This window comes from Homo sapiens, chromosome 10, assembly GCF_000001405.40.
Source record: "Homo sapiens chromosome 10, GRCh38.p14 Primary Assembly".
NCBI classification, from domain to species: Eukaryota; Metazoa; Chordata; class Mammalia; order Primates; family Hominidae; genus Homo; species Homo sapiens.
Window position 1 is genome coordinate 96,585,512 of NC_000010.11, and position 23,366 is coordinate 96,608,877.

General features: G+C 44.4%; 2 protein-coding genes and 1 long non-coding RNA gene across 8 annotated transcripts in view, besides 3 other annotated features; 1 reads left to right on the forward strand and 2 right to left on the reverse strand.

Moving 5' to 3' along the window:
* TM9SF3 (transmembrane 9 superfamily member 3) overlaps positions 1-1,501 on the reverse strand; it is a 68,903-nt gene extending 67,402 nt beyond the window's left edge. Inside the window, exon 1 of one of the 2 annotated variants that reach the window (NM_020123.4) lies at positions 1,223-1,501. In NM_020123.4, the coding sequence (NP_064508.3) occupies positions 1,223-1,324 (102 nt within the window). In that variant the 5' untranslated portion in view covers positions 1,325-1,501. Of the gene's footprint in view, positions 1-643; positions 1,198-1,222 lie in introns of those variants that run through there. The other variant, XM_011539976.3, reaches the window with a different exon arrangement.
* Positions 1,161-1,730: a silencer, noted in NCBI's record as "silent region_2654". NCBI's record gives its function as "represses an Ori minimal core promoter by ATAC-STARR-seq in GM12878 lymphoblastoid cells {active_cell/tissue: GM12878}" and the evidence as "EXISTENCE:reporter gene assay evidence [ECO:0000049][PMID:35858748]".
* On the forward strand, positions 1,553-22,253 carry LOC105378443 (uncharacterized). Of its 2 annotated transcripts, XR_946220.4 has the most exons (3): positions 1,553-2,832; positions 5,908-6,073; positions 22,165-22,253. It is a non-coding gene; the product is annotated as an uncharacterized LOC105378443 (long non-coding RNA). The 2 variants fall into 2 exon arrangements; XR_001747560.3 differs by lacking the exon at positions 22,165-22,253 and having other exon boundaries at positions 5,908-7,569.
* Positions 2,609-2,668: an enhancer, noted in NCBI's record as "active region_3828". NCBI's record gives its function as "activates an Ori minimal core promoter by ATAC-STARR-seq in GM12878 lymphoblastoid cells {active_cell/tissue: GM12878}" and the evidence as "EXISTENCE:reporter gene assay evidence [ECO:0000049][PMID:35858748]".
* Positions 3,665-3,734: a silencer, noted in NCBI's record as "silent region_2655". NCBI's record gives its function as "represses an Ori minimal core promoter by ATAC-STARR-seq in GM12878 lymphoblastoid cells {active_cell/tissue: GM12878}" and the evidence as "EXISTENCE:reporter gene assay evidence [ECO:0000049][PMID:35858748]".
* The window catches only part of PIK3AP1 (phosphoinositide-3-kinase adaptor protein 1), a 127,200-nt gene continuing 111,637 nt past the window's right edge, over positions 7,804-23,366 (reverse strand). For 3 of the 4 annotated variants that reach the window (NM_152309.3, XM_047424566.1, XM_005269499.2), the window contains 3 exons: positions 18,468-18,538; positions 16,769-16,887; positions 7,804-10,123 (listed from right to left, as the gene is read on the reverse strand). In NM_152309.3, coding sequence (NP_689522.2) covers positions 10,066-10,123; positions 16,769-16,887; positions 18,468-18,538 — 248 coding nt within the window. In that variant the 3' untranslated portion in view covers positions 7,804-10,065. The remainder of the gene's footprint in view (positions 10,124-16,768; positions 16,888-18,467; positions 18,539-23,366) is intronic. The other variant, XM_011539248.2, reaches the window with a different exon arrangement.

Below are 23,366 nucleotides of genomic sequence, written 5' to 3' on the forward strand. Positions count from 1 at the left end.
TCTAAAGAAATACATACCTACACAGGTAAGAAGTTTCTGGCTGTGACCGAAGGTAGAACAGTCAAAAGTTTAGAGCTTTTATTAGCTAAAATAAGATCCCAGCTAGCCAAGGATCCAGCGAAAAGTTTTGTTGATTACAAATAAAATCGGATCCATTAAATAGGTAAGGACGACTGCTTCATTTCCTCACTTACCAGAAATGACATAAGACTCCCTCAGATCGTTCTGATTTAGTACAAACACAGTCTCTCATAGAAACTCCTATCATTAATGGTAAAGGTATAAAAAACAATTACTCGTCAAGCAAACTCTCAATTTACCTGACCTTCCTGCCTTGCTCAAGTCTACCACTCTGAAAACCACAGTTACAGCCCTAAGTGAAAGCCATTTGAAGAGTCGTTCACATGCACGTTTTGATGTGAGAATACCAATTAAACAAACTGCCAATCACCTTTAGGCCAAATGCAAAAGGGACTGTTTCTGGCCCTGACCTGAAGACTGGGAAACGTCAAGACCCTTTACTGTCAGAAGCTGCCTTAGTTAGAGACTATCGGGATGGGGGTCTCACTTAGGGGCTGGAAGGTGAGGAGAAAGTTACAAGAAAGGCCTAGGAATTGAACGCGTGTAGGTTGGGTGCACTTACAAGTAAGTATAAACTGCTCTTCAATTCAAGTTTATTAATGCTGCCCCACCCCAGGGTTTTAATCCGGTCTGGGCAGAAGCGGGCGATAAAAGCCAAAGGAGACCATAAAGTGTAGGATATTTCCTGGTTAGTGGCTGCCGGGTAATCACGATGCATCCATCTTCCTCGGCGTCGCAGCCCTCAGTAGCCAGAAGGCAGTCTCCTTCCCTGGGGGGCAAAAGCCCCGAGCCCAGCCTGCCCGTTGCCCCGCTCCCGCGGTGGATGAACCTCAACCCTTCCCAGGCTCCTTCCTGGCCCCAGGGTCCCAGGAACCCCGAGACCCTGGGGTGCGGCGCCACTGAGGCCCAGACCGGGGGAAGGAGACCCTGTCACTCGGGAGCGGAGCCCTGTCCCGGGAGCGCACGGAAATGCCTCCTCCACGCTCCCAAGGTTCCTGCTCCGCCAGGCCCAACCGGAAGGAGTCCTCGGGCCGCAGTGGGGCACCACCGGGCCGCCGGGCACTCCAGGCTGCGTGGGGCCTGCCTCAGTGGGCAACTGGGGAGCTAGCCCGGGGCGGCCGCGCCGGCCGGGGCGCCTCACCGTGTGTTCGTGCTCGTCCGCCCGGGTCCGGGGCAGCAGCAGCAGCAGCAGCCACAGCGCGGCGGCCGCCGCCACGCCAAGAGCGCCAGGCAGCGGCCTCATCCTCCGCGCCCCTCCGGCCCGGAGCCGGCTCACCGACTCCTCCTCCCGCCGCCGCCTCCTCCGCCGCCGCCGCCTCCGCCGCGGCCGATTCGCATCCACGGGGCGCGGACAGACGCACGGGGCCCGGCCCAGCCGCTGCCTCCTCTGCCGCCGCCGTCGCCGTCACCGCCCGCTCCTGAGCCTCCCCCGCCCCCCGCGCCTCCTCAGCCTCTTCCTCTGACTCAGCCACGTCATCCGGCCACCCCGGCACGCGCCGGAAGTGCCTCGCGACGCGGGGCCGCCACCGCCGCCGGGCCGAGGGAGGGCCCGGCAACCGCCGCCTGCGCGCCGGCTGCCCCTCGGCTCCTGGGAGCCGCGGCGCTACGGGCCTGCCGAGCACTCGGGCGGGCGCCGAGCAGGCTGGGCCCCGGCGCAGTGGCCTAGCCTGGACCGCAAGGCCGAAGCCGCCTCCGGGCCGCGTCCCGGTGTTTCGGGTTGTGTAACCTTGGCCAAAATGCTTAAGCTTTTTTCCTGGCTGCCAAATGGGGCCGATCGTCTGACCTGCTGCCTCCGGAACTTGAGGGATCAGATCAAATAACCCTTTCCTGGCGCTCGTCTGCCGCTGTGAATGAATCACGGGCTCCTGTAATCACCGTTAGGAGAGATTGTTAAACTCGTACAGGGTTGGATGTTTTAAAGTTACTGAATATTTACTGGACCCCTACTGTTCAATCAAGACATGCTAAGTTAGCTTGCCATTCTTGTTCATTTATGTGTTTACTTAACTATTTCTGGGTCTCCTCTTCCCAGTCATAAATATCTCTTGGAGTGTAAGCTCCTCGGAGCAGAGATCCTGTTTCCGTATTTCCTGTACCTAGAACAGTGCCAGATCCGTAGTAGACACTGAAACAAAAAATCTTTAAAAAAAAAAAAATATACGAATGTGGCACCACCATTTACACAGGCCACTAAGCCAAAAATCTCGAACTTGTCAGATTGTCTCTTCTCAGCCATCAGCAGTCAACAAGTTCTAGCATTTGGTCTCTTAAAAGTGGTTCAAGAGTTTATTTTTCCTCTCCTTCCTCTGCCAGTACCAACCAGTCTTCCGTATCACTATGTATTGCAAGAGTCTCACAAGAAGATATCCATCACTGACTGATCTTCCTCCCGTTTAACATCCCCAACAGGTGCCAGGGTGATGTTTTTTTTATTCTAAAAAGAAACCAGATTATATCGCTCACTCCCTTGCTTAAAACAGTTCTTCAATGTTAGGTAAATAAATCATGGAGTCACCACGAGGGCGTTCATCTGCCAGGCACTATTCTGAACGATATTGGCTCATTAAATTCTCACAGAAACCCTATGCAGCAGGTACGGTGAAAATGTTCCTGTTACAGATGAGGTAACTGAAGCACAGAGAGCTTGAGTGGCTTGCTGAAACACCAGACCCACTCAGTCTGGCTCCATAATAGGTCTTTTTGCTGGTAATGATTTACCAACTATACAGCCACTTTAAAAAAAGGAAATAGGTAAGTACTGGCATGGAATGATAACCAAGAGGTTCTGTTAAATTTTCAAGTTGAAGAAAATAAGAGTTTAACTTCATTTTATATGGCAATATGTTAGTCTGCCCATAGAAAACAATCTGAAAGATTATAACAAACTACTATCAGTGGTTAACTTTCTACTTTGTACATGCCTATAAATGTTTGGTTATTTTTTACAGTGAGCATGTGCTAACTATGTAATCAGAAAAAAAGTTCCCTGCTAAAGGATAAAGTCCAAATTTTTGCCTATTTTATCCCTAATTTATTTCCCTAACTTTACCTTCCACCAATTTCTATGCTCTGCATTCACCCGTATATATTTTTACACCTCTGTGCCTTTGCTCTTTATACTCCCTTTATCTGGCATGCTCTGCTTCACCTTGTGCCTTAGATATTATCCTTTCAGACCTAGCTGATGATCACCTCCTCAGTGAAACCTTGCATGATCCCTTGAGAAATGGAGCATTCCTTCTTTGGGATTTCAATAGCATTTGGCGTGTTGTGTTGTAATTATCTATTCACATTTCCTCTTCTACACTGCATTCGGACCTTTTTGATTGCAGGGACTATGATTTGTTTGTCTTTATATCTGTCCCAGCTGCTGAGATAGTGCTTGTCACATCATAGGTATTCAACTCTTTGCTGAATGAATGAAGACATTAACAAGTGAAAAGTCAAATAGCATAGCAAGATTTGAAGAATGCTTTCTAGATAGTGTAAGAAACATCACAAAGCAGTACATGATTAATTGCTGAATGAATCATACACCAGTAATTGCTGTAGAAATCAGAGGAGGCATCTTATACATCTTTGTATATCCTCCCGAGCACCTAGCAGGGTGACTTGCTCATAGTGAAAGCTCAGTCAATTCTGTGAATGAATAATCACTGCTCTTGAATGAAGTGATGATGTGCAATTGAAGAACAAGCCGTGTAAGTGCTACATTAAGATGGATGTGTAGTTTCTTAAGTATCCATCACCACCCTCCACAGATTTGAGGTAGTATGCATGTGGCAGGTGTTTTGGGGAGGACTGGGTTGGCAAATGCTTGGAGGTAGGGAGGACACAAGAAAAAGTATATTCATTTAGGGAGGATAGATTAAAACCAGGAAACTACACACACAACAAAGAACAGGCATGACAGTGTACTTTTAAAAAGGAACACAAAAGCTGGCCAACTGTGCAAATGGTCAACAGGCAGTAAAAGCAATGGGCAATGAGAGAAGTGGAAAGAAACCCTATTTCAGAGGAGTATTTGGGAAAATTTAATGGATGGAAGAGCAGGTAGAGCCATTAATTCAACGATTATTTATTAAGCCTCTACTATGTACCAGGCACTCTGGTAGGTACTAGGGGAATTATGCTGATAAATGGCATTAGGTGATACAAGTCTGACAGCAGTAGGTGTGGAAAGAAGGAAAGGGAGATAAAGTAACTGATTAGAGTAAAAGAAGTGTGGCTTCAAAGATCCTAGGTGCCTGATGACCTCAACAGGACAAAACAGGGCTCAGGTCACCATCAAAATTAGGGTTGTTTCACTAAACTGGGGAGTGAAAAACATTAACATACCTTATTTCACCACTTATTTCATCTGGGTGAATGACCTCATTCCCTGACACCAAAAAGGATGGCAGCGGTGGGGAGAAAATGCCGGTGAAAGGCATTTCCCACCTCCCCCAGTGGCTATACAGCCTCTTTTCTATGGTAGCTCTAATAAGACTCCATTTTGGTTAAAGAGCTTATGACCAGCAAGCAATCCAGAAAACCAAAATGTCAGTCTTTTATTTTCATTCTGGGTAAACATGATCATCAAAACTATTAGGTATGGGGGCTAGGCACAGTGGCTCACCCCTGTAATCCCAGTACTTTGGGAGGCCGAGGTGGGCAGACTGCTTGAGCTCAGGAGTTCAAGACCAACCTGGACAACAGAGTGACACCTCTGTCTCTTCAAAAAATACAAAAAAAAAAAAGTATCTGGGCATGCTGGCACGTGCCTGTGGTCCCAGCTCCTCAGGAGGCTGAGGTAGGAAGATGGCTTGAACCTGGGAGGTGGAGGTTGCAGTGAGCTGATTGTGCCACTGCACTCCAGCCTGGGTGACAGAGCCAGACCCTGTCTCAAAAAAAAAAAAAAAAAAAAAGTATTAGGGTATGGATTGACCACATATCTTCTGATTTCTATCATCAGCTACTTTTTCTTTGAAATTCTATTTCTTCCTTCTACTTTGTTATGTTTGTCTTGCCAGTTATGTACTTCAGCAGGGTGGGCGACAGTTCGTCTATTGCTATTTGCCATTTTCCACCTCCACCGTTTCTGTTCTGGCTGTAATGTTCTAGACACAGATCTTCATGATTGCTCTGAGTTCTTTCTTTAGGAAGCCATTACTGAGAACATTTAGTTCTTGGACTGAAGAGCAACTAAGGCCATTAGTTTCTTTGTGTGGTTCCTCTTTCACTGTCTCTCAGTTTTTTAACTGATATAACAGTGAGACAGAGCAAGGAACAGCAGGTGCCACATAATAAAAAGAGCCTTGCCAATTAGGTGGTGATGCCACTAAGGCTGTCTCCCTGCTTCTTCCGACAAAGCGATTCCACACCCTCTTTCTGAGACTTAGACTTAACAGAGTTGAAGAGACCTAGACTGTTACCAAAGACACAACTCTCCACTTCGTAGGTGATGAAACATAGAACAAGGTAGTCAAGTTATGTGAACTCGTCAAGTAAGTAGCACACCAAAATAAAAGACCAGGTTTCCTGGCTTCCGAAACAATCTCTTCCCTATACCATGCTAACTCTTACTGCAGAGATAGCAAAGACATTTTATCCTAAATGGGCTTTGGCGACTAGCCTAAATATTAAATTTGAACTCAATTGAACATGGACACAAACGATGGTCACCAAGTCCCAGAACGGATTGTGTGAGCTCTTTGAGGCGTTCATCCAGCGTTGTTTCGGAGAAATCTCTATTTCAATCTATTCCTATACATTAGTTATTGAAAAACAATAGACAACCGCAAAAACAAGTTGACCTTTTTGTGTTCCTTGATCCTGGTCACAAAGGGCCCTTGTGACTGGACCTCATGCCAAACAACTCGTTACAAAAAGAGCTAGGGTTCCAGACTGCGCCGAAGCTTCATGAGACCTCTCCTTGTCTGCATGGACGAGTGGCCAACTCTGGAGCCCAGGCTGTTGCTTCCCAGTCTGGTGGTGAATCCTCCATAGTCTGGTGAGTGTAAATACATATATATATCTTTTCCCTTCTCCCTTCCCATTGCAATTTGCTTATTATATCATTTGCTTATATCTGCACTGCCATTTGGGATAAAGCTTGTTTACCCTTAAAGGTATTGTGTGTGTGTCTCCTCCCGCGCGCATTTCCCACACAGAACACCTAAGAACCTATTTTTTATGATTTTTACGAGAAGTGAATTCCAAGTTGTGCCTCAGAATTCAGAATATATCTTTCAACCTCCTACTCATCCCCTCACCACCCTGGTGAACACAGTGTCTGGCCAGCAGGAATGAATGAAGAAGACTATTTTATGTTCTTAATAACTTGCTTGGAAATGAACAGAGCACAATTTATCAAACCAAAGCAAATATTTATACAGGCAGATCCCTTAAAATTGAGGATTAATGCTTAGGAAGAATTTTTTAGAATTTTCCAAATTAACCACTTGTCTTTCTCAGAAATAAATCTGTTACTGATGCTTCCTCCACCAACCAGCTGCAAAACCACACACTATTCTTTGAAGGAGGAACACAGAAAACCAACTTACTTCCTGGGGCATTTGGGAGAGGAATCTAAAAATCCTAGTGATATGGCAATGACTAGAACCTTTTTTTTTTTTGTAACAACAAAGCTAAAAGGGGATGTGTAACTTAGCTTGACTTGTAAAAATATTCGTAGAAGTCATCTATATTTTACCACTTTGTGTAACTAAGGCAGAGCATTAGAGATTATTCACATCATTAAATATGTCCAGTTAAATTATTAGATTACAACACCAACCTCTTGTTCATAGTCTCTCAGTCTTCAGCTGGGCACGGGGGCTCACGCCTGTAATGCCACCACTTTGGGATGCCGAGACGGGCGGATCACTTGAGGTCAGGAGTTTGAGACCAACCTGGGCAACATGGTGAAACCCCGTCTCTACTAAAAATACAAAAATTAGCTAGGCGTGGTGGCAGGTGCCTATAATCCCAGCCACTCGGGAGGCTGAGGCGGGAGAATCACTGGAACCCAAGAGGTGGAAATTGCAGTAAGCCAAGATGGCACCACTGCACTCCAGCCTGGGTGACAAGAGCAAAACTCTTGTCTCAAAAAAAAAAAAAAAAAAATAGTCTCTCAGTCTTCATACTTTGTTGCTTAGTTGGATTATCTGCTCCTAGGTTTTAATATAAGATGAAATAAAAGTGCTGGCCTAGGAATTGGAGGCCAATTTACCTTAGGGGCAAAGGCAATGGTGGTGAATATACCCAACAGCTTCACTTTCTATGGAGCCAGCTTGTAAAATCTTGGGCAAGGATGGTGGCAGCAGAGCTGTCTGCCTAAGCATCATGTAGAAAATTTTTTAATGGTTTCTTTGGACCCTAGCTTGCAGTGTCATTTCTGCTTCTCATTGTATTGGAAATCCATGGTTTTGTTACATAATGTACTCCTAAAAATGTATACACATGTGTTGAGTATGTGGAAGTTGAATATATTTATGTTATAAATGAGCAGTTCTGTTTCTGGAAAATGAAAATTTTCACCTCATCACTACAGACATTCTTTGATAACACAGTCCCAGTGTTTCATCCAGATTATTTCATTTTCTTCTTTTACATATAACCAACCATTTTGGATGTTAAAGGAACAACCAGTGAGGGCTTAAGATCTGCTGCTTTTGACTTGGCACTCCTGATCAGTTCCATCCGTGTCTCAAGTGTATCACATTCACGAGACAAGGCTTCTCATCAGCAATTTCAATTTTATGTTTTCTACTTATTTTTATATAAGAATACAATGCAACAAAATATTCATATATTGCACAAACAGTGATGTGCATACAAAGATGCTAACAACATTGGCTGGTAATAGGCTTTACCATGTTACGATCTAAATGCTTGTTCATCAGAGAATGTACAAAATTCTAAGTTTGGCATCCAAAAGGGGGCTTACAGTTATTGAATATTTTTCCCAGCCCTATTTTAAATCAAATTCAAGTTTGCCTATGACAAAGACTGTCTATAAGTAACAGGGCAAGCATACCAACATCAAAATTATTCTTCTTCTTATCTCACGTGCCCCTATTTCTCCCAAATAAGTGACAAGGAGAGTAAAAGGATCACTGAGGGAACATTTGAAGAATGCTACTAAGTGCCAGGTCCTGTACAAGGTAATTAATTACTACAAACACTCTCGTGATGGACATGGCCAATAGTGTATTTTGTCAAAAAACAAAAACAAAACCCAAGATTCCAGAAGCTGTTTCTGACAAGAAGTCCTTGTTTCAGTACTCTTCAGTATGAGTCCTTACTTGCAGGACTGAGGAATGAAATTGAGAAAGAACCTTTAATCATTAGAAAAGGACCCAATAAAACTATACTTAAATGGATCATTAATGTGGATTTTTTTACATTCGTGTGGGATAGAGAATAATCCCATGGGAAACAAACACATTTTGAATATTTTTTAAAGAAGTATTTCTGATTCTAATTTTACTGTATGTTTAGGCATCATTAAGGACCTCTGATTTGAAGGTAGATTTATGTGCCAGGGACTCCAAATTCATGACATGTTTTAAGGCTCCATATTCCATGCAAAAATGGACTTACTGAGCATGGTGGTAATAATAAGTATGTAAAAAATAGATAACTACAGTCGTACTTTGGTATCCATGGGGGATTGGTTCCAGGATCCCCCAGTATCAAAATCCACAAATGCTCAAGTCCCATATATAAAATAGCATAGTATTTGCATATAACCTATGCACATCCTCCTGTATGCTTTAAATCATTTCTAGATTTCTTATAATATCTAATACAATGCCTACACATCACTTCATTTACATGAATTCAACATACTTCTTGGCATGCAGCAAATTCAAGTTTTGCTTTTTGAAACTTTGTAGATTTTTTTTCAAATATTTTTGATCCAAGGTTGGTTGAATCCACGGACACAGAACCCATGGATTTGAAAGGCTGACTGTATTTCTATTTTAGGTTTGTTTTTCCTCCTCAGAAGCCTCAACGAAGAAAAAGTCAAAGGTCCTTCTCTCTCTATGACCAGAAATAAAACCTATAAAGGAAATAGAGCACTAAGTGGGGTCCCTGGAATCCCCAGCTTCTGGTTTCCAGCCACTTCTAGATGTTCTCTGGAAACATAACTGCGTTGAAACCATACTGAAGTATAAATTCCCAAATTGGAAAGAAAACAAACAAACTTGGTAGTCTCATGCCTGGGAGATACGGAAGATGGAAAATTCTGGAAGACCAATAGGCACTGATGAATTTCTACATCTGGGCATTTCTTGAGGGAGAGAGGGCCTGGCTATTTGGAGATGGAAAATGTGGTGACCTAGAATGAGCAGGCCCAGTCTAGACTAACCTCTTTATTTAACCAACTGAATAGTCTTGGTTCCAGACTTCTGTGGAACCTCAGATTTGCCTTCTGTATAAGAGGAGTTTGTACTAATCCCTCTAGTCTTTTTCAGTTGGTTGTGTGTGACCAGCCCTAGCACTTAAATACCCTGCTGAATATACAGAAAAGTAGAAGAATTATTTTAAAATTAGGTCACTTATCTTACTTGAATACTACAAGTCTCACACTATAACCTCTTCTAGAAATCAGGCTGAACTAGCAAATACATAAAGACTAATATAAGTGCATTTCAGTAAAATCACTGGTGAAGTACATTTATGATCATTCTTTTTAGGCTTCTGATATGGCAAATTAGAGGTAAGTATTTCGATTAAGTCTTCATCCTTTTGGCAAACAAGTATATGGTTCGATATACTTGGTGATGGTGAATGAAGCCCTTAGTTTTTCACTTCTTCGTGCCTTAATAAAATCTTCGAGGCAAGCCCAAACCAGCAGGGCTGCAGCATTATCAGCAATGAGAATGGATCTTAAGGTCAACAGTCATGCTATAAAACTCAACATGAAGACATCATTAACAGGCTGAAGACTGTGAGTCTTAAAGTCCTGAAGTAGGCAGGTTTTAGGAGGTGGAATCAGCGTCCTCTGGGTGGAACAGGTGGAGGAGGATGGAAGGTCTCCCTGGTCGGAGGCCTAAAATGAAAGATAAGGCAACTCTATTTAAAAACTAATTTGATTAAACAGTTCTTAGGAATGCACAATTTGTTGCAAACTTGGTATACTATGCAAAGGACACAATCCTCAATGAGACAGGACACACATATGAATGTATGAGTGACACGCATGCTAGCTGTGGCTTGCAATCCTGGCGGCACATTAGAAACACCAGTGGAGCTTTTAAAAATACCAATTCCAAGGATCCATCCCAGACCCATCGCATTCTAAGCTCTAGAGGATAGGACTCAAGCCACAAAGCTTTTGAATAGTTTCCCTCCCCAAACAGCTGTCCTCACCAATCCTTTCATTATCTGATGTTTTGCCATCTTGGGGCCTTGCTGACCCTGGAGAGACTGCCCCTCCCAGGGTAAGCTAAAATTCCTAGAAACAGCAAACAAGCTACTTGCCTTCCAGTGCTAAATATACCTTTCGTATGCAAACCAACCAGTCCAGATGCATGCCCCAACCACCTCCTCTATGGGGCTTTCACACTCCACTTTATGGGGCCACCATCCACTTGCCCTTATCACCCTAGGGCCAGGTACCAGACGACTAGAGTCAGCCCTTATGCCTCAGAGCCAATGAAATTATTCAAACTAGCCAATTCTAAATCTTACCCAGGCTCACCTGTTTTGTCCCATGGAAACCACAATAAAAGCTCTTGTCCACATTTTCCCCTGCTCCTCTGCCTCCTCACTGGCCCTGATGCTTCCCCATGTAGCCCCCTATGGGTTGATGTACCCCTGTTTTGGGATCTGTGAGTATAACAAACTATCTTTTCAGTGGCAGTTGTCTCCTGAGCTGTTGACTTTGCCATACCTACATAATAATAAAACCTAGGTTTTAAAACACCAGCAATTCTAATAGCCACTTGGGAGACACACTGTAGTAGGGAGATTTGTTGAGAGAGGAATTGGAATTTCCAAAGCCTGCTTCTCATGACTGCTTCCTCATGAGATAACTGTTATCTCAACTGTTATCCCAACTCTGCATCTGCCTTCCTAGAAACTTCCCTCCATGTTATTCTGTATGGTTTTTGAACAGTCTTAAATGACATTCCAGTTAGACTAGGGTGAGTCTATTTACAGACAGGTTCAAGGATTACAGATGGCATTTCCACGTGTGTACTGTAAAACCAATATTTAATTCCCTTGGAAGCAAGTCAATAAGTCAAGAAAAAGAGCTTTGTTAGGTGCTATAATTGAACTGTGCCACCCTGGAGTTGCATACTTGAGGATTGATTGAATCAAAGAGTAAATATGTACTAAATGTCTCTTGAATGCAAGGTTTGTATAGGTCAAGGAAATGACAACTGAGTTGGGAAAAGAGGGGCTGCCTCAGGAGCAAGAGAGGGAGGCAGGAGCAGAAAATAAGAATCACAGACAACCTTGGGAGGTCCTGCCCTAGTCCCAGGATTAGATGGTTTTGTATGGTTGTCACTGAGTGACTGAGCTTTATACCATGAAAAAAAAAAGGATGGCCTCCTTCTATCTCTTCAGCCTGCCCTGTGAGTTTGGGGTTATAGGAGAAAGCCAAAGGGCATGATACCACTTTTACCTGAGCAAATTTAGCCTGCCCACCTCTCTGCCTTCTTTTTTTCTTTCTTTCTTTCTTTCCTTCCTTCCTTCCTTCCTTCCTTCCTTCCTTCCTTCCTTCCTTCCTTCCTTCCTTCTTTCCTTCCCTCCCTCCCTCCCTCCCTCTCTCTCTCTCTCTCTCTCTTTCTTTCTTTCTTTCTTTCAACAAACACTAATTTACTTTATATCCACTCCTGGGTATGGGATATAACAGCAAGTAAAGTGGTCATGGATTAGGCCCTCAAGATGATGCAAGTGTGTGGATGAGACGGACAATAGGCAAAAAATCAGTAAACTCTACAGAGCAATTTGGTAAGGGAGGTTCAGAACCTATAGGAACATATAGCATAGACATTTATGCATATATCTCTGTGTGTGCAAGTTCAACGCCTCTGCAATTGTTTTCTCATCTGCCAAACAGAGGTACTGATCCCTACGTTGGAGTACCATGTGAGGCTTGGAGATGACAGTAGGAAAGTAGGTAGCAGTTTCTGGCTTGGAGTAGGCACACAACAAGTAAAGCTAATAATGAGATAATGACGATTAAAGATCTATTCTGAAATCTGTTCCCCAGGTATGCCCCATGAGCCTTACATTTTATCTTCTATCACAAAGACAACCATGATTTCCTCCCAGCCCCTCTTCCGCTTTCTGCTGCCACACTGTGCAGTTGGGGTGGGCCTATGGGCATACCCTCTCTAGGTTTCATTCTGAGGAACAACTCCAGCTAAAGATTGGAAGCTACATCTCAAGGAAACTTATTTATAATTGCAGACCTATAATTATAGTGGGTTTTTTTTGTTTTTTTGTTGTTTTTTTTTTTTTTTTTGAGACATGGACTCACTCTGTCATCCAGGCTGGAATGCAATGGCGCAATCACAGCTTACTACAGCCTCAAACTCCCAGGCTCAAGCAATTTGCCCACCTCAGCCTCTCGAGTACCTGAGACTACAGGCACACACCACCACACCTGGCTAATTTTTTTTGTTTGTTTGTTTTGTAGAGATGGGATTTTGCCAAGTTGCCCAGGCTGGTCTCAAACTCCTGAGCTCAAGGAATCCCTCCCTCCCTGCCTCAGCCTCCTAAAGTGCTGGGATTACAGGCATGAGCCACTGTGCCTGGCCAAGAGTGTGAAGTTTCTTTCACTCATCTATAACCCCCCTGCATACGGTGGTAGATGACTTGATGGCTACTTTTTTTAAGAGCTCCGGAAGTCCAACCCAAACAGTACCAATCTATCCTTCCATCCATTCACTTAACACAGTGAGTACCTTTTAAGTTCCTAGTATGTGCCACTTACTCTGCCAGGCACTAGGGATAGGAGAAAAAAAATTAAAAGTCAAAAATGGTGTCTCACAGGTTCGCCATTCATTGAGGAGACACATCTACACAAGGGTCGCAACACAGAGTGTATTATTAGAGTATAGAATATAATAGAAGTGCTTGGGAAACCAAAAGAAGATTCACTCGCATGGGAACATTAGGGAGGGCTTCACAGAGGAGGTGATGTTTGAACTGAGTCCTAAAGGATGTATAGGAATTTTCTAAGCAAGAGTAGAAGGGAGTAGGAAGACAGCATTCCAGGCAAAAGGAACAGATTGGGCAAAGAAACAGTACAGAGTGGCAGAGCTCACTGGGAATGCTGAAGTGGCAGATCATCGGTGAATACAGGAGAGGGGCAGGACTTGAGCTAGGCAGAGCCAAAGAATGCTGAAATACACAGAATTAAACGTGAAGGCTTTTATGCCAGGCAATGGCATCATCAGCTATTCCTGTTCTAGAAAGGGCACTCTGGCTGCAATGTGGAGGAGGGAGTGACTGGAGGAAGGGAGGTAAGTGTGGGCCTTCAAGAATGAACTTAGGCACTAGCAGATGGAAAGGAGGGCGGATCTGACAGCTGAAAGAGCAGCAGAACGGACAGAGCATGAAGACACACTGGATATGAGAGCTGTGAGGGGGGCAGGGATCAAGGATGACTCCCAGGTTTGGGGCTTGGGGAAGGGAGAGAATGGTCCCACTATCTCAGGCTGGGAACTCATGAGAAGAAGGCAGTTTGGGGTAGAGAATGGTAGGTGGGCTGATGAGTTCAGTTTTGCACAGGCTATGTTTGAGATATTGGTGGGGTCCCTGAATGAAGATCCCCAGTCAACTGCAGGAAAGAGAAGGCTGAGATGGAGATGGAGACTTGGGGTCTTTGTCTGCTGGTGGCAATTCAAGCTCTGGGATAGCATGTAGAGTGAGCAGAGGCAAGGACCAGAACCGGGATGGAGTGGGATGGAGGCTGTACTACCAGTGCTGTTTGGTTTGGGCCAGGGGTTAGCAGGGAGGTTAGAACACGGGCAGAGAAGAGATGCTGATGCCCAGATCTGACAGTGGAGTCTAGGACACCAAGGCCAGCCTTCAATCCTGTCTATAAGCAGGTCAAACATTGAAGTCATTCTGGAGAGAGTCCCATTTTATTATCTGCTCAAATATCCCCGTATTTTATTGTGAACATTGCATACTCACACATCTTTTTTCACACCAAAAATGCACCCAAACCCCAAGTTCTATCAATTACAAACTGCTTCGTAAACATTGTTTCTTTAGCAAAAAATGTTTTCCTCCTTTTCTCTCCCCATCTCTATCACAACTTGCTTCCAGACTCCCCAAACAACTCAACCACCATCTCTTTTTACACATTTACATGCTTCCTAGTTTCTATCCTTTAATTTTTGGAACCTGTTTCCCCGGTTGTCTTCTCTTTCTCTTCTGTTAACAAAATCCCACCGAAACCTTGTAGCTAAAGTTTTAAACTTGACAACTCTTTTATCTTGGTACAATTAGACAACTGCTTCCAAAGTCCTCACCTTCAGGAATAAAAGGCCTTGGATCTTGAACCTCCTCCCCTAATACTGAGACTTTCTTGGAGAGGTATAAAACAATGCCTATGAGATGAAGTCTGGCAGGTTTGCCACACACAGCAAGTCTCAGCCCAATCTCAAGCCCCAGTTTCTACATCTGCAAAATGGGATAACACTAAATACCTACGTCTTAGGATTGTGGAGAGAATTAAACAGGATAATGCATTTAGTATGTTTAACGGAATACCTGCCACATAGTAAGTCTCAATAAATAACAGCATTTATCACCATCACTGCTCTTGGTAAGCCCTCCAATCACCAACTATGTGATAATTTTCAAGCAACAGAGCACAGTGCAAATTCAGGGGATGGGACTAGATTACTGCTAAGCTTCCTTCCAGGACTAATATTCTAATCCGTGCCTTCCAGTCTACACCAGGAAAGCATGCCCGGTGGGTGTGGCACAGCCTGGGCCTGGGCGATGTTTGAGTAGCAAGTGCCAACACACAAATGTTGCTGGGAGCGCATGAGAAAGTGATAAATAGCAAAGGGAGAAATGGAAAGATCCTTAGCACAGAGCCAGCCTCTCTTTCCAGAACACCAGAAGAAAGACCTCCTTGTTGCACTTTCTCAACAAATTCCACTGATGAGCTTCATCTAAAAGTTTCAAAATGCAAAAATCAAAACAAAACCCTGGTTGAAGAAAAGCTTCCTCCTTCCTTATGCCCCATTAACACATGAACATTTTATTTTAAACATCGAAGAGTTAACTCCTCAGACAAGCCTTGGCTTTTATTCCCAAGGGCTCCTTTCTGCATCTGTGGACACACAGCTAGCTGTGACCACTTTTTCCGTTACTCCACAAGACTGAACCATAAAAAGGTTCCTACCAGAGGCCCAAGTATCATATAAACAAAGGCATACATCAAAATCTAGTAAATTAGTCAAATTCTTTAGTCTAATGCTCATCTCCAAATCTCTAGATATTAACTCCTCTCCTGTATAAAAAAAAAGATCACTTATATTGCTGAGTTCTCACTATAGGCCAAGAACTCAATGCTTATGATTCTGCAGAAAGTTCTGTTATTATCCTCATTTTATAGACAAGGAAATTGAGGCTGGGCATGGTGGCTCATGTCTGTAATCCCAGCACTTTGGGAGGCTGAGGCGAGCAGATTACCTGAAGTCAGGAGTTCGAGGCCAGCCTAGTCAAAATGGCGAAACCCTGTCTCTACTAAAAACACAAAAATTAGCCAGGCGTGGTGGCAGGTACCTGTAATCCCAGCTACTCGGAAGGCTGAGGCAGGAGAATCACTTGAACCCAGGAGGCGGAGGTTGCAGTGAGCCGAGATCACACCACTGCACTCCAGCCTGGGTAACAGAACAAGAATCTATCTCAAAAAAAAAAAAAAAAAAAAGGAAATTGAAATACATGAAAGTTAAATAGTTCTTGCAAGTTTGCAAATAGCTGCTGGAGACTTGACCCCAGGTAGGGGGGCTCTAGAGTCAGGCTTCCCACCACCATACGATGTAGCCTGTCACCTGCATTTTCATTTCCAATTCCTTCATATTTTCTGTTCCCCAAAAGGCACTGTCCCTACAGTCCAGCCAAGGGAATTAGTTATTGGAGAGTTGAATTCTAGCCAAACTGATAAAAACAATTTTAAAAGTTGACATTTTTCAATGTATTTCATTTATGAAACATTGCATTTGCTATTTAAAGTATTTGCAACTAAATAATGCATCACTTAAATTAATGAAGGGTCCACATTGAAATGTGTCCAATGGAGTAGGCATTTCAATTAGCTCTGTACTTATTCTTTTTTTTGAGACAGTTTCTCTCTGTCACCCAGGCTAGAGTGCAGTGGCATGATCTCGGCTCACTGCAACCTCTGCCTCCCGGGTTCAAGCAATTCTCCTGCCTAAGCCTTCTGAGTGGCTGGGACTACAGGCGTGTGCCATCATGCTCGGCTAATTTTTTGTATTTTTAGTAGAGATGGGGTATCACCATGTTAGCCAGGATGGTCTTGATCTCTGGACCCTGTGATCCGCCCGCCTTGGCCTCCCAAAGTGCTGGGATTACAGGCATGAGCCACTGCGCCCAGCTCTGCGCTTATTCTTTAGTCATCTTAGGTGTTTCCAAGTCCTATTCTCCCCTAGGATTCAGAGATAAGGGAAAAATTTCATATCAGTTTTGATGTTACCTCTGTGAGGCAGCTCTCGGAGGCACCCTGGGGGGTCTCTCGAGGGACATGGTGGGTGTCCCATCCACTTGTGGGGGGCCTGGACTGCGACTTCTGGTAACCTCAGGGACTTCATTATCCTACAGCAAAGAAGATGAGAAAGAAAGGCGAAAACTACATTCAGCAACCAGCATAGCTGGACAACCGTAACTCAAAAGCCCCTTGGTCCTCCTTAGGCTGGGGCTGAAGGTTGTTTGCAAATTGATAATCAACCCAGCCATACCTGGCAGCTTTCCATTTCTTCCTGAAGTCACTGAGGCACTGAGGAAGACAATCTGGCCCCAATGATCATTAATTGCCTGAATTCTAATTCCTTGCTACTCAAAGTGTGCTCTGTGGCCGGTCAGCATCAGCATCAGGTGGAAGCTTATTAGAAATGCCCACCCAAGGACTCTTCTCAGAAGGCTTCAGAGTTGGCAGTGACCCATGTGGCCCCTCCTGCTTGTCCCAGCCACTGGTCCCTGGATCAAGCTAGACACATGTCCCAAATTGGGCCAACTTGGAATGGGGCCTCAACCTAAAGCAGCAACTTACTCCCTGCTCGGAGGCCTAGTGGACTCAGGGGACTGTGGAGAAGCAGAAGGCAGAGGTGTGAGGGGAAAGAAAGCGGATGTGCACAGAGAAGCAGAGACCAAAGAGCTTTTGGGCCTGGGATACACAGAACAGTGACCCCGGCTCCCTCTGGCAGGTCCTGCAGCTCCTAATCCAGACCCAGAGCACGGCCCCTAACCCTGGATCCCCTGAGACTCACCTGCTCCTTCCCACAGATGCCCCTTAAGGTTTCACTAGTAAGAGTGGATTTCCAGCTGTCTATTTCCTTCCTTCCTTTCTTTCCTTCTTTTCTATTTATTGAGGTGAAGTTAACATAAACTTAACCATTTTAAAGTGGACAATTCAGTGGCATTGAGTGTATTTACAATGTTGTGCAGCCTCTATCTAGTCTTAAAACGTTTTCATCACCCCAAAAAGAAACCCTGTGTGATGGTGAATACTGACTATCAACTTGATTGGATTGAAGGATGCAAAGTATTGATCCTGGGTGTGTCTGTGAGGGTGTTGCCAAAGGAGATTAACATTTGAGTCAGTGGGCTGGGGAAGGCAGACCCACCCTTAATCTGCGTGGGCACCATCTAGTCAGCTGCCAGCCAATATAAAGCAGGAAGAAAAACGTGAAAAGCAGAGACTGGCTTAGCCTCCCAGCCTACATCTTTCTCCCATGCTGCATGCTTCCTGCCCTCAAACACTGGACTCCAAGTTCTCCAGTTTTGGGGACTCAGACTGGCTTCCTTGCTCCTCAGCTTGCAGGTGGCCTCTTGTGGGACTCTGTGATTGTGTGAGTTAATACTACTTAATACACACACACACACACACACACACACACACACACACACACCACATATATATATATGTTCTGTCCCTCTAGAGAACCCTAATACACCTGTCCCCATTAAGCAGTTTCTTCCCATTCCTCCTCCCTCCAGCCGCTGGCAACCACCAATCTTCAAACTGTCTCTGTGGATTTGCCCACTCTGGCATTTCATATAAATGGAATCCTATAATATATGACCTTTTGTGCCTGGCTCCTTTCACCTGGGTTTCTATCTCTTGCGATGAAACGACCCCTAGGACAGGATAGGTGGGGTGGAGTCCCAGCTCTCACCTCGTTGTCCCCTTCCATCCCGCTGCTCACACTGAGGAGGCTCCGGGTGCTGGAGCGGTTACTTGTGCTACCTAAAGGGTAGAAAGAAAATCAGCCGGATTGAGGATTCTTTCAGGCTAAAATAAAATAGAGAACTCTAGAACTTATTTAGTTTTATTGATATAAATAATACATAAGCTGTAAGTATGGGGTTCTTCAAACTTTGGCCATCTTATACTTTTTGTTTTCTTAGAGACAAGGTCTTGCTGGAGTGCAGTGGCATGATCACAGCTCATGGTAGCCTCAAACTCCTGGACACAAAAGATCCTCCTGCCTTAGCCCCCTAAGTAGCTGGGACTACAGGTGTGTGCCACCACACCTAGCCAATTTTTTTTTTTTTTTTTTTTTTTTTTTTTTTTTTGTAGCAACAGGATCTCACTCTGTTGCACAGGCTGGTCTTCAACTCTTGGGCTCAAGCGATCCTCCTGCCTCAGCCTCTCAAAGTGCTAGAATTACAAGTGTGAACCACTATGTCCAGCCTTCTACCATTTTATTAGAGTTCAGTTTTTCTTTCAGCATGAAACAAAATTATTCACTTTTTGATGACTAACTTTGGCATTACTGCTACCATTGACTGAGGGCTTTGAAAATGTGATTGCCATTTAACCCCTATGAAAATCCTGTTTGATATTAGTGCTCCAATTTGAAGGACAAGACAGCAAAGGTATTCTGATTCTCAGCTCTTCAGTGGTATTTCTAAAATCTGCAAACTAACTTTGTTGCTGCAGTTTTTTGCTTAGGAATTCTAGCAAACAGGTATGTATCACCCATGCAGACACGCCTTGTAATAAGGGGCCGGACCCTTTGACACAAAACAAAATGCAAAGTACACACTCAAAAGTATAATTTTTTTTTTCCCCGAGACTGAGTTTTGCTTTGTTACCCAGGCTGGAGTGCAGTGGCACGATCTCGGCTCAGTGCAACCTCCACCTCCCAGGTTCAATGGATTCTCCTGCCTCAGCCTCCCAAGTAGCTGGGACTACAGGCACGTGCCACCACGCCTGGCTAATTTTTGTATTTTTAGTAGAGACAGCATTTCATCATGTTGGCCAGGCTGGTCTCAAACTCCTGACCTCATGATCCGTCCACCTCGGCCTCCCAAAGAGCTGGGATTACAGGTGTGAGCTACCATGCCGGGCCCTCAGAAGTATAATTTATGTTCATGGTCAGAATTGTGACTGTGAGTTTAGGCACTCAAGGCTTTTCAGTTGGGAATTTATCACCTGTATCATTAGATTAGCATCATCCAATAGAACTTTCAGGGCATCTTTTACTGTGTGTTATCCAATATGGTAGCAAGTGGGAAACATGGCTAGTGCAACCAAGGAAATGAATTTTAAATTTTATTTAGTTGTAATTAACTTAAAAATGTAAATAACCACGTGTGGCCAGTGGCTACCATAACTGGACAGCACAGCATTAGAAGAAAGCCCAGGACATGGTGATCTAGCAGAGAAGAAGAAAAAATAAGAGTTAATCAACAAAAATAAGGAGATCTTAACTTTAATTTTCCAATATTCTCACTAACAACATAGTCAAGATCTTAGGTTTGCTGAATTTCCACTTCAAATAGCTCCTGGTCATGTAAGTTTATAGGTAGTCAAAAAATAGTTTTGACTGCATTCTGGTATCAACTTTGACCGAATTAATTTAGATGTTAGCTTGAATAGAGCAGGTTAAGATTCTAATTTTGAATTCTTTTTTGGGGACAGATTTTTAAATAAAATAATACGTCAAAATGTTTCTATAATCCAGGGGATGCAGAAATTGTTTATTAAGGAACATGAGCCGGGTGCGGTGGCTCACGCCTGTAATCCCTACACTTTGGGAGGCTGAGGCGGGTGGATCACGAGGTCAGCAGTTTAAGACCAGCCTGGCCAAGATGGTGAAACCCCGTATCTACTAAAAATACAAAAATTAGCTGGGCGTGGTCGCGGGTGCCTGTAATTCCAGCTACTTGGGACACTGAGGCAGAGAACTGCTTGAACCCGGGAGGCAGAGATTGCAGTGAGCCGATATCATGCCACTGCACTTCAGCCTGGGCGACAGAGTGAGACTCCGTCTCAAAAACAAAAACAAAAACAAAAAGGAACATGTGATCCTGTCTCTTTCTACTCGTTACCCATACACAACACTGTTCAAGGACCAGGCTGTCTTTTTCTCCCTACTCTTCCCAGCCCACTCCTGTCCACAAGTCTAAAACCTCCTCAGTCTCCAAGGCTCAGGACAAATGCTATCAAAACCTCCCCACATTCCCCCAACTAAAAGTAGCCCCTCGGGCCCACGGGCCCCCATCCCTCTGTGGCTAAGCCTCCCCATGCCATTCCTCATTGTTCATCACATTCCCTTACGATGAGCCATAATCCTTTTGAAGGTTATCTACTAGCAAGAAGTCATAAAGCTGCCACAGGCACCAGCTCCATGACTCCGGAAACTCATACCAATCAGTTCCCACTGTCCCTTCTGCTGGCATTCTTAAATCTTCAACCCCAATGTTTGGCTCTGAACCTTGGCCCTGGCCCTCCTCCTCTCCAAGCTGATGACTTACTTGCCCAATCCCCTCTAGGCTACACAGTTGTTAGGAGACTCTGGCCCTAGCTCCCATCATCTTCACACTTGCCAGGGGGAAGGGGGGCAGTGCCCACCCCTTGGTAGGCTTCTACCATCAGGGGAGAAGTATCGGACAAGCATCTAACGCCATGCTACTCTTGTACTTTCTCTCCTCCGTTACAAGGCTCCTAAAGACAGGCTCTGGTTCTTTTTCATCTTTGGTTCTCTAGCATACAGTCTAGCTCAGTATACAAAGAGCTATCCTCAGTATTTGGTGGATCAAGGAGTGAGAGAAAAAAATGACCATATAAAAGTATAATACGATTCTTAAGAAACTTGGTTACACTTGAAACTAGCGTCTGTTTTAAAAAAGAAAGAAAGAAAAAAGAAACTTGGGCCAGACAACCTAGGAGGTCAACAGCCTTTCTGTTTTGAAATTTTTGTTCTCTTAAACATAACACTAATATCTGGCGCTTGAATTTTTAGTTATAACCAGATTTAACCTGCAACTGTTTTTCTGTGGTTCCCAAGAGATGACAGCTGCACCATAATAAAAACAGTGTTTTTTTTAGGGTGTGATTCAGGGGGTTAAGGGGCAGTTGGTGGATAAGCTGGGCCATCCTCACTCTCCCTCTCTGCCATGGGAATTATTTCTATTTGGAAGGCAGTACACCCCCACAGCTGAAAGCACAGGAAGACATAGATGTGAATTCCAGACCCCCTGCTTGCTTGCCAAGAGACTTGGGGCAAGTTGCCTACCCTTTCTGCTCCATTTTCTTATCTAGAAACTCACAGCACTGTTGTATAAAATGAACCCGAAAATATGGTGACATGCTTGGCACAGGGCATGCAAAGAGAAAGCATTTGATTAATGGAAGCAGCTATCTATACTATTATCCATTTCAAGATGGTAGACTAACCACCAGTGACCCCCTAGTCAACCTCCCGCCCAGGATCCACACCTTTGTATGCTCCTGCCCCCTGCCACACTCTAGCTTAGCCATGTGACCTGCTTTGGCCAATATGGCATTAGCAAGTGTGATGCAAGCCAAAGCTTGACAGGCACTAGCAAACTGGAGCTTTTCCTTTTGGCCTATTCCCTCTCCAGATCTTGTTGCCATATAAAAGGCTATGAATTAAAGGCCACGTGTAGAGAGGCCCCGGAGGATGAGAGGTTTCCTTGGATGTTCCAGCCCAAGCAGGGCTTACTGCTGAATGCTGGCTCATGAATGACCCCAGCCGATGCCACAGAGGAAAGATGAACCACCGTCCCCCACTGAGTCCTGTTTAAGTTGTAGGATAAGGTATAAATGAAGGGTTGTTTTAAGCCACTACATTTTGGCATGGTTTATTGCATGGCAAGAGATAACAGAAACTGTATAACAGGGGCCGGGTGCAGACTACAGCCACAAAGTAGAGTAAAATCCATTGGTCTGTCATTTAGTAACATTTTCTAACCAGATGAGCCAGCCAACCCTGGGCACTAAACCACTGCACAAGGGGAAAAGCACAGTTTATTCTTCCCATCTTCTCCTCACCCCAGGCTATCCCCCAAAAAACATATACACAAAATCTATTCAATTACTCTGAACCTGAAATTAGTGCATTTCTCTTGTTAAATTTCCAGCTGTCACTCTCCTTCCCCACCCTGGGATGCACTGTTCTCACCCTGAGAGGGTTCTACCACTTTCCTCCTCCACAGGTCTGAGAGACAGAGATAGCCACCTGTCCCTTGCTCCTTCTGCCACCTGTGATCCCTGAGGACATCTCTCCCATTCCTGAACTTGTCAGAATTCTCAAATTGCCCCCAGTGGGCTTTGCATACAAATGATCACCCCCATTATGTAAGAGGAAGTTTTCTCCTCTGTCCAGACTAGACTTCCCAGGCAGTCACGTGATAGGCTGTGGGTCTGTTTTGACAGGTAATGAGGGCAGAGAAAGGAGCTAGGATCTACTCGCACCTTTGCCATTCACTGGCTATGTAACCTTGGGCAAAATTCTCTCTCTTTCCGGGTCACAAATACCCCATCTATAAAGGATGAAGGAAAACTAGCTCAGAGGTTCTTGACCTAAGTCCATGGGTGGGCAAAATTGTGTGTGTGTGCCCACAGACACATGCATACACCTGTGCATGTATCTGGGGGACACAGCCAAAGTATGTATCAGATTCTCAAGGGGCTTTGTGATGCAGAAAAGATTAAGAACCCCCAGAGTTAGATAACCTTCCTGCTCCAACATGCGTTATGGGGTTCTCTGCCCGACATTTAAGGAGATATGAGTCCTGAAATTCAGCTGCTCTCTGGCTCTTTT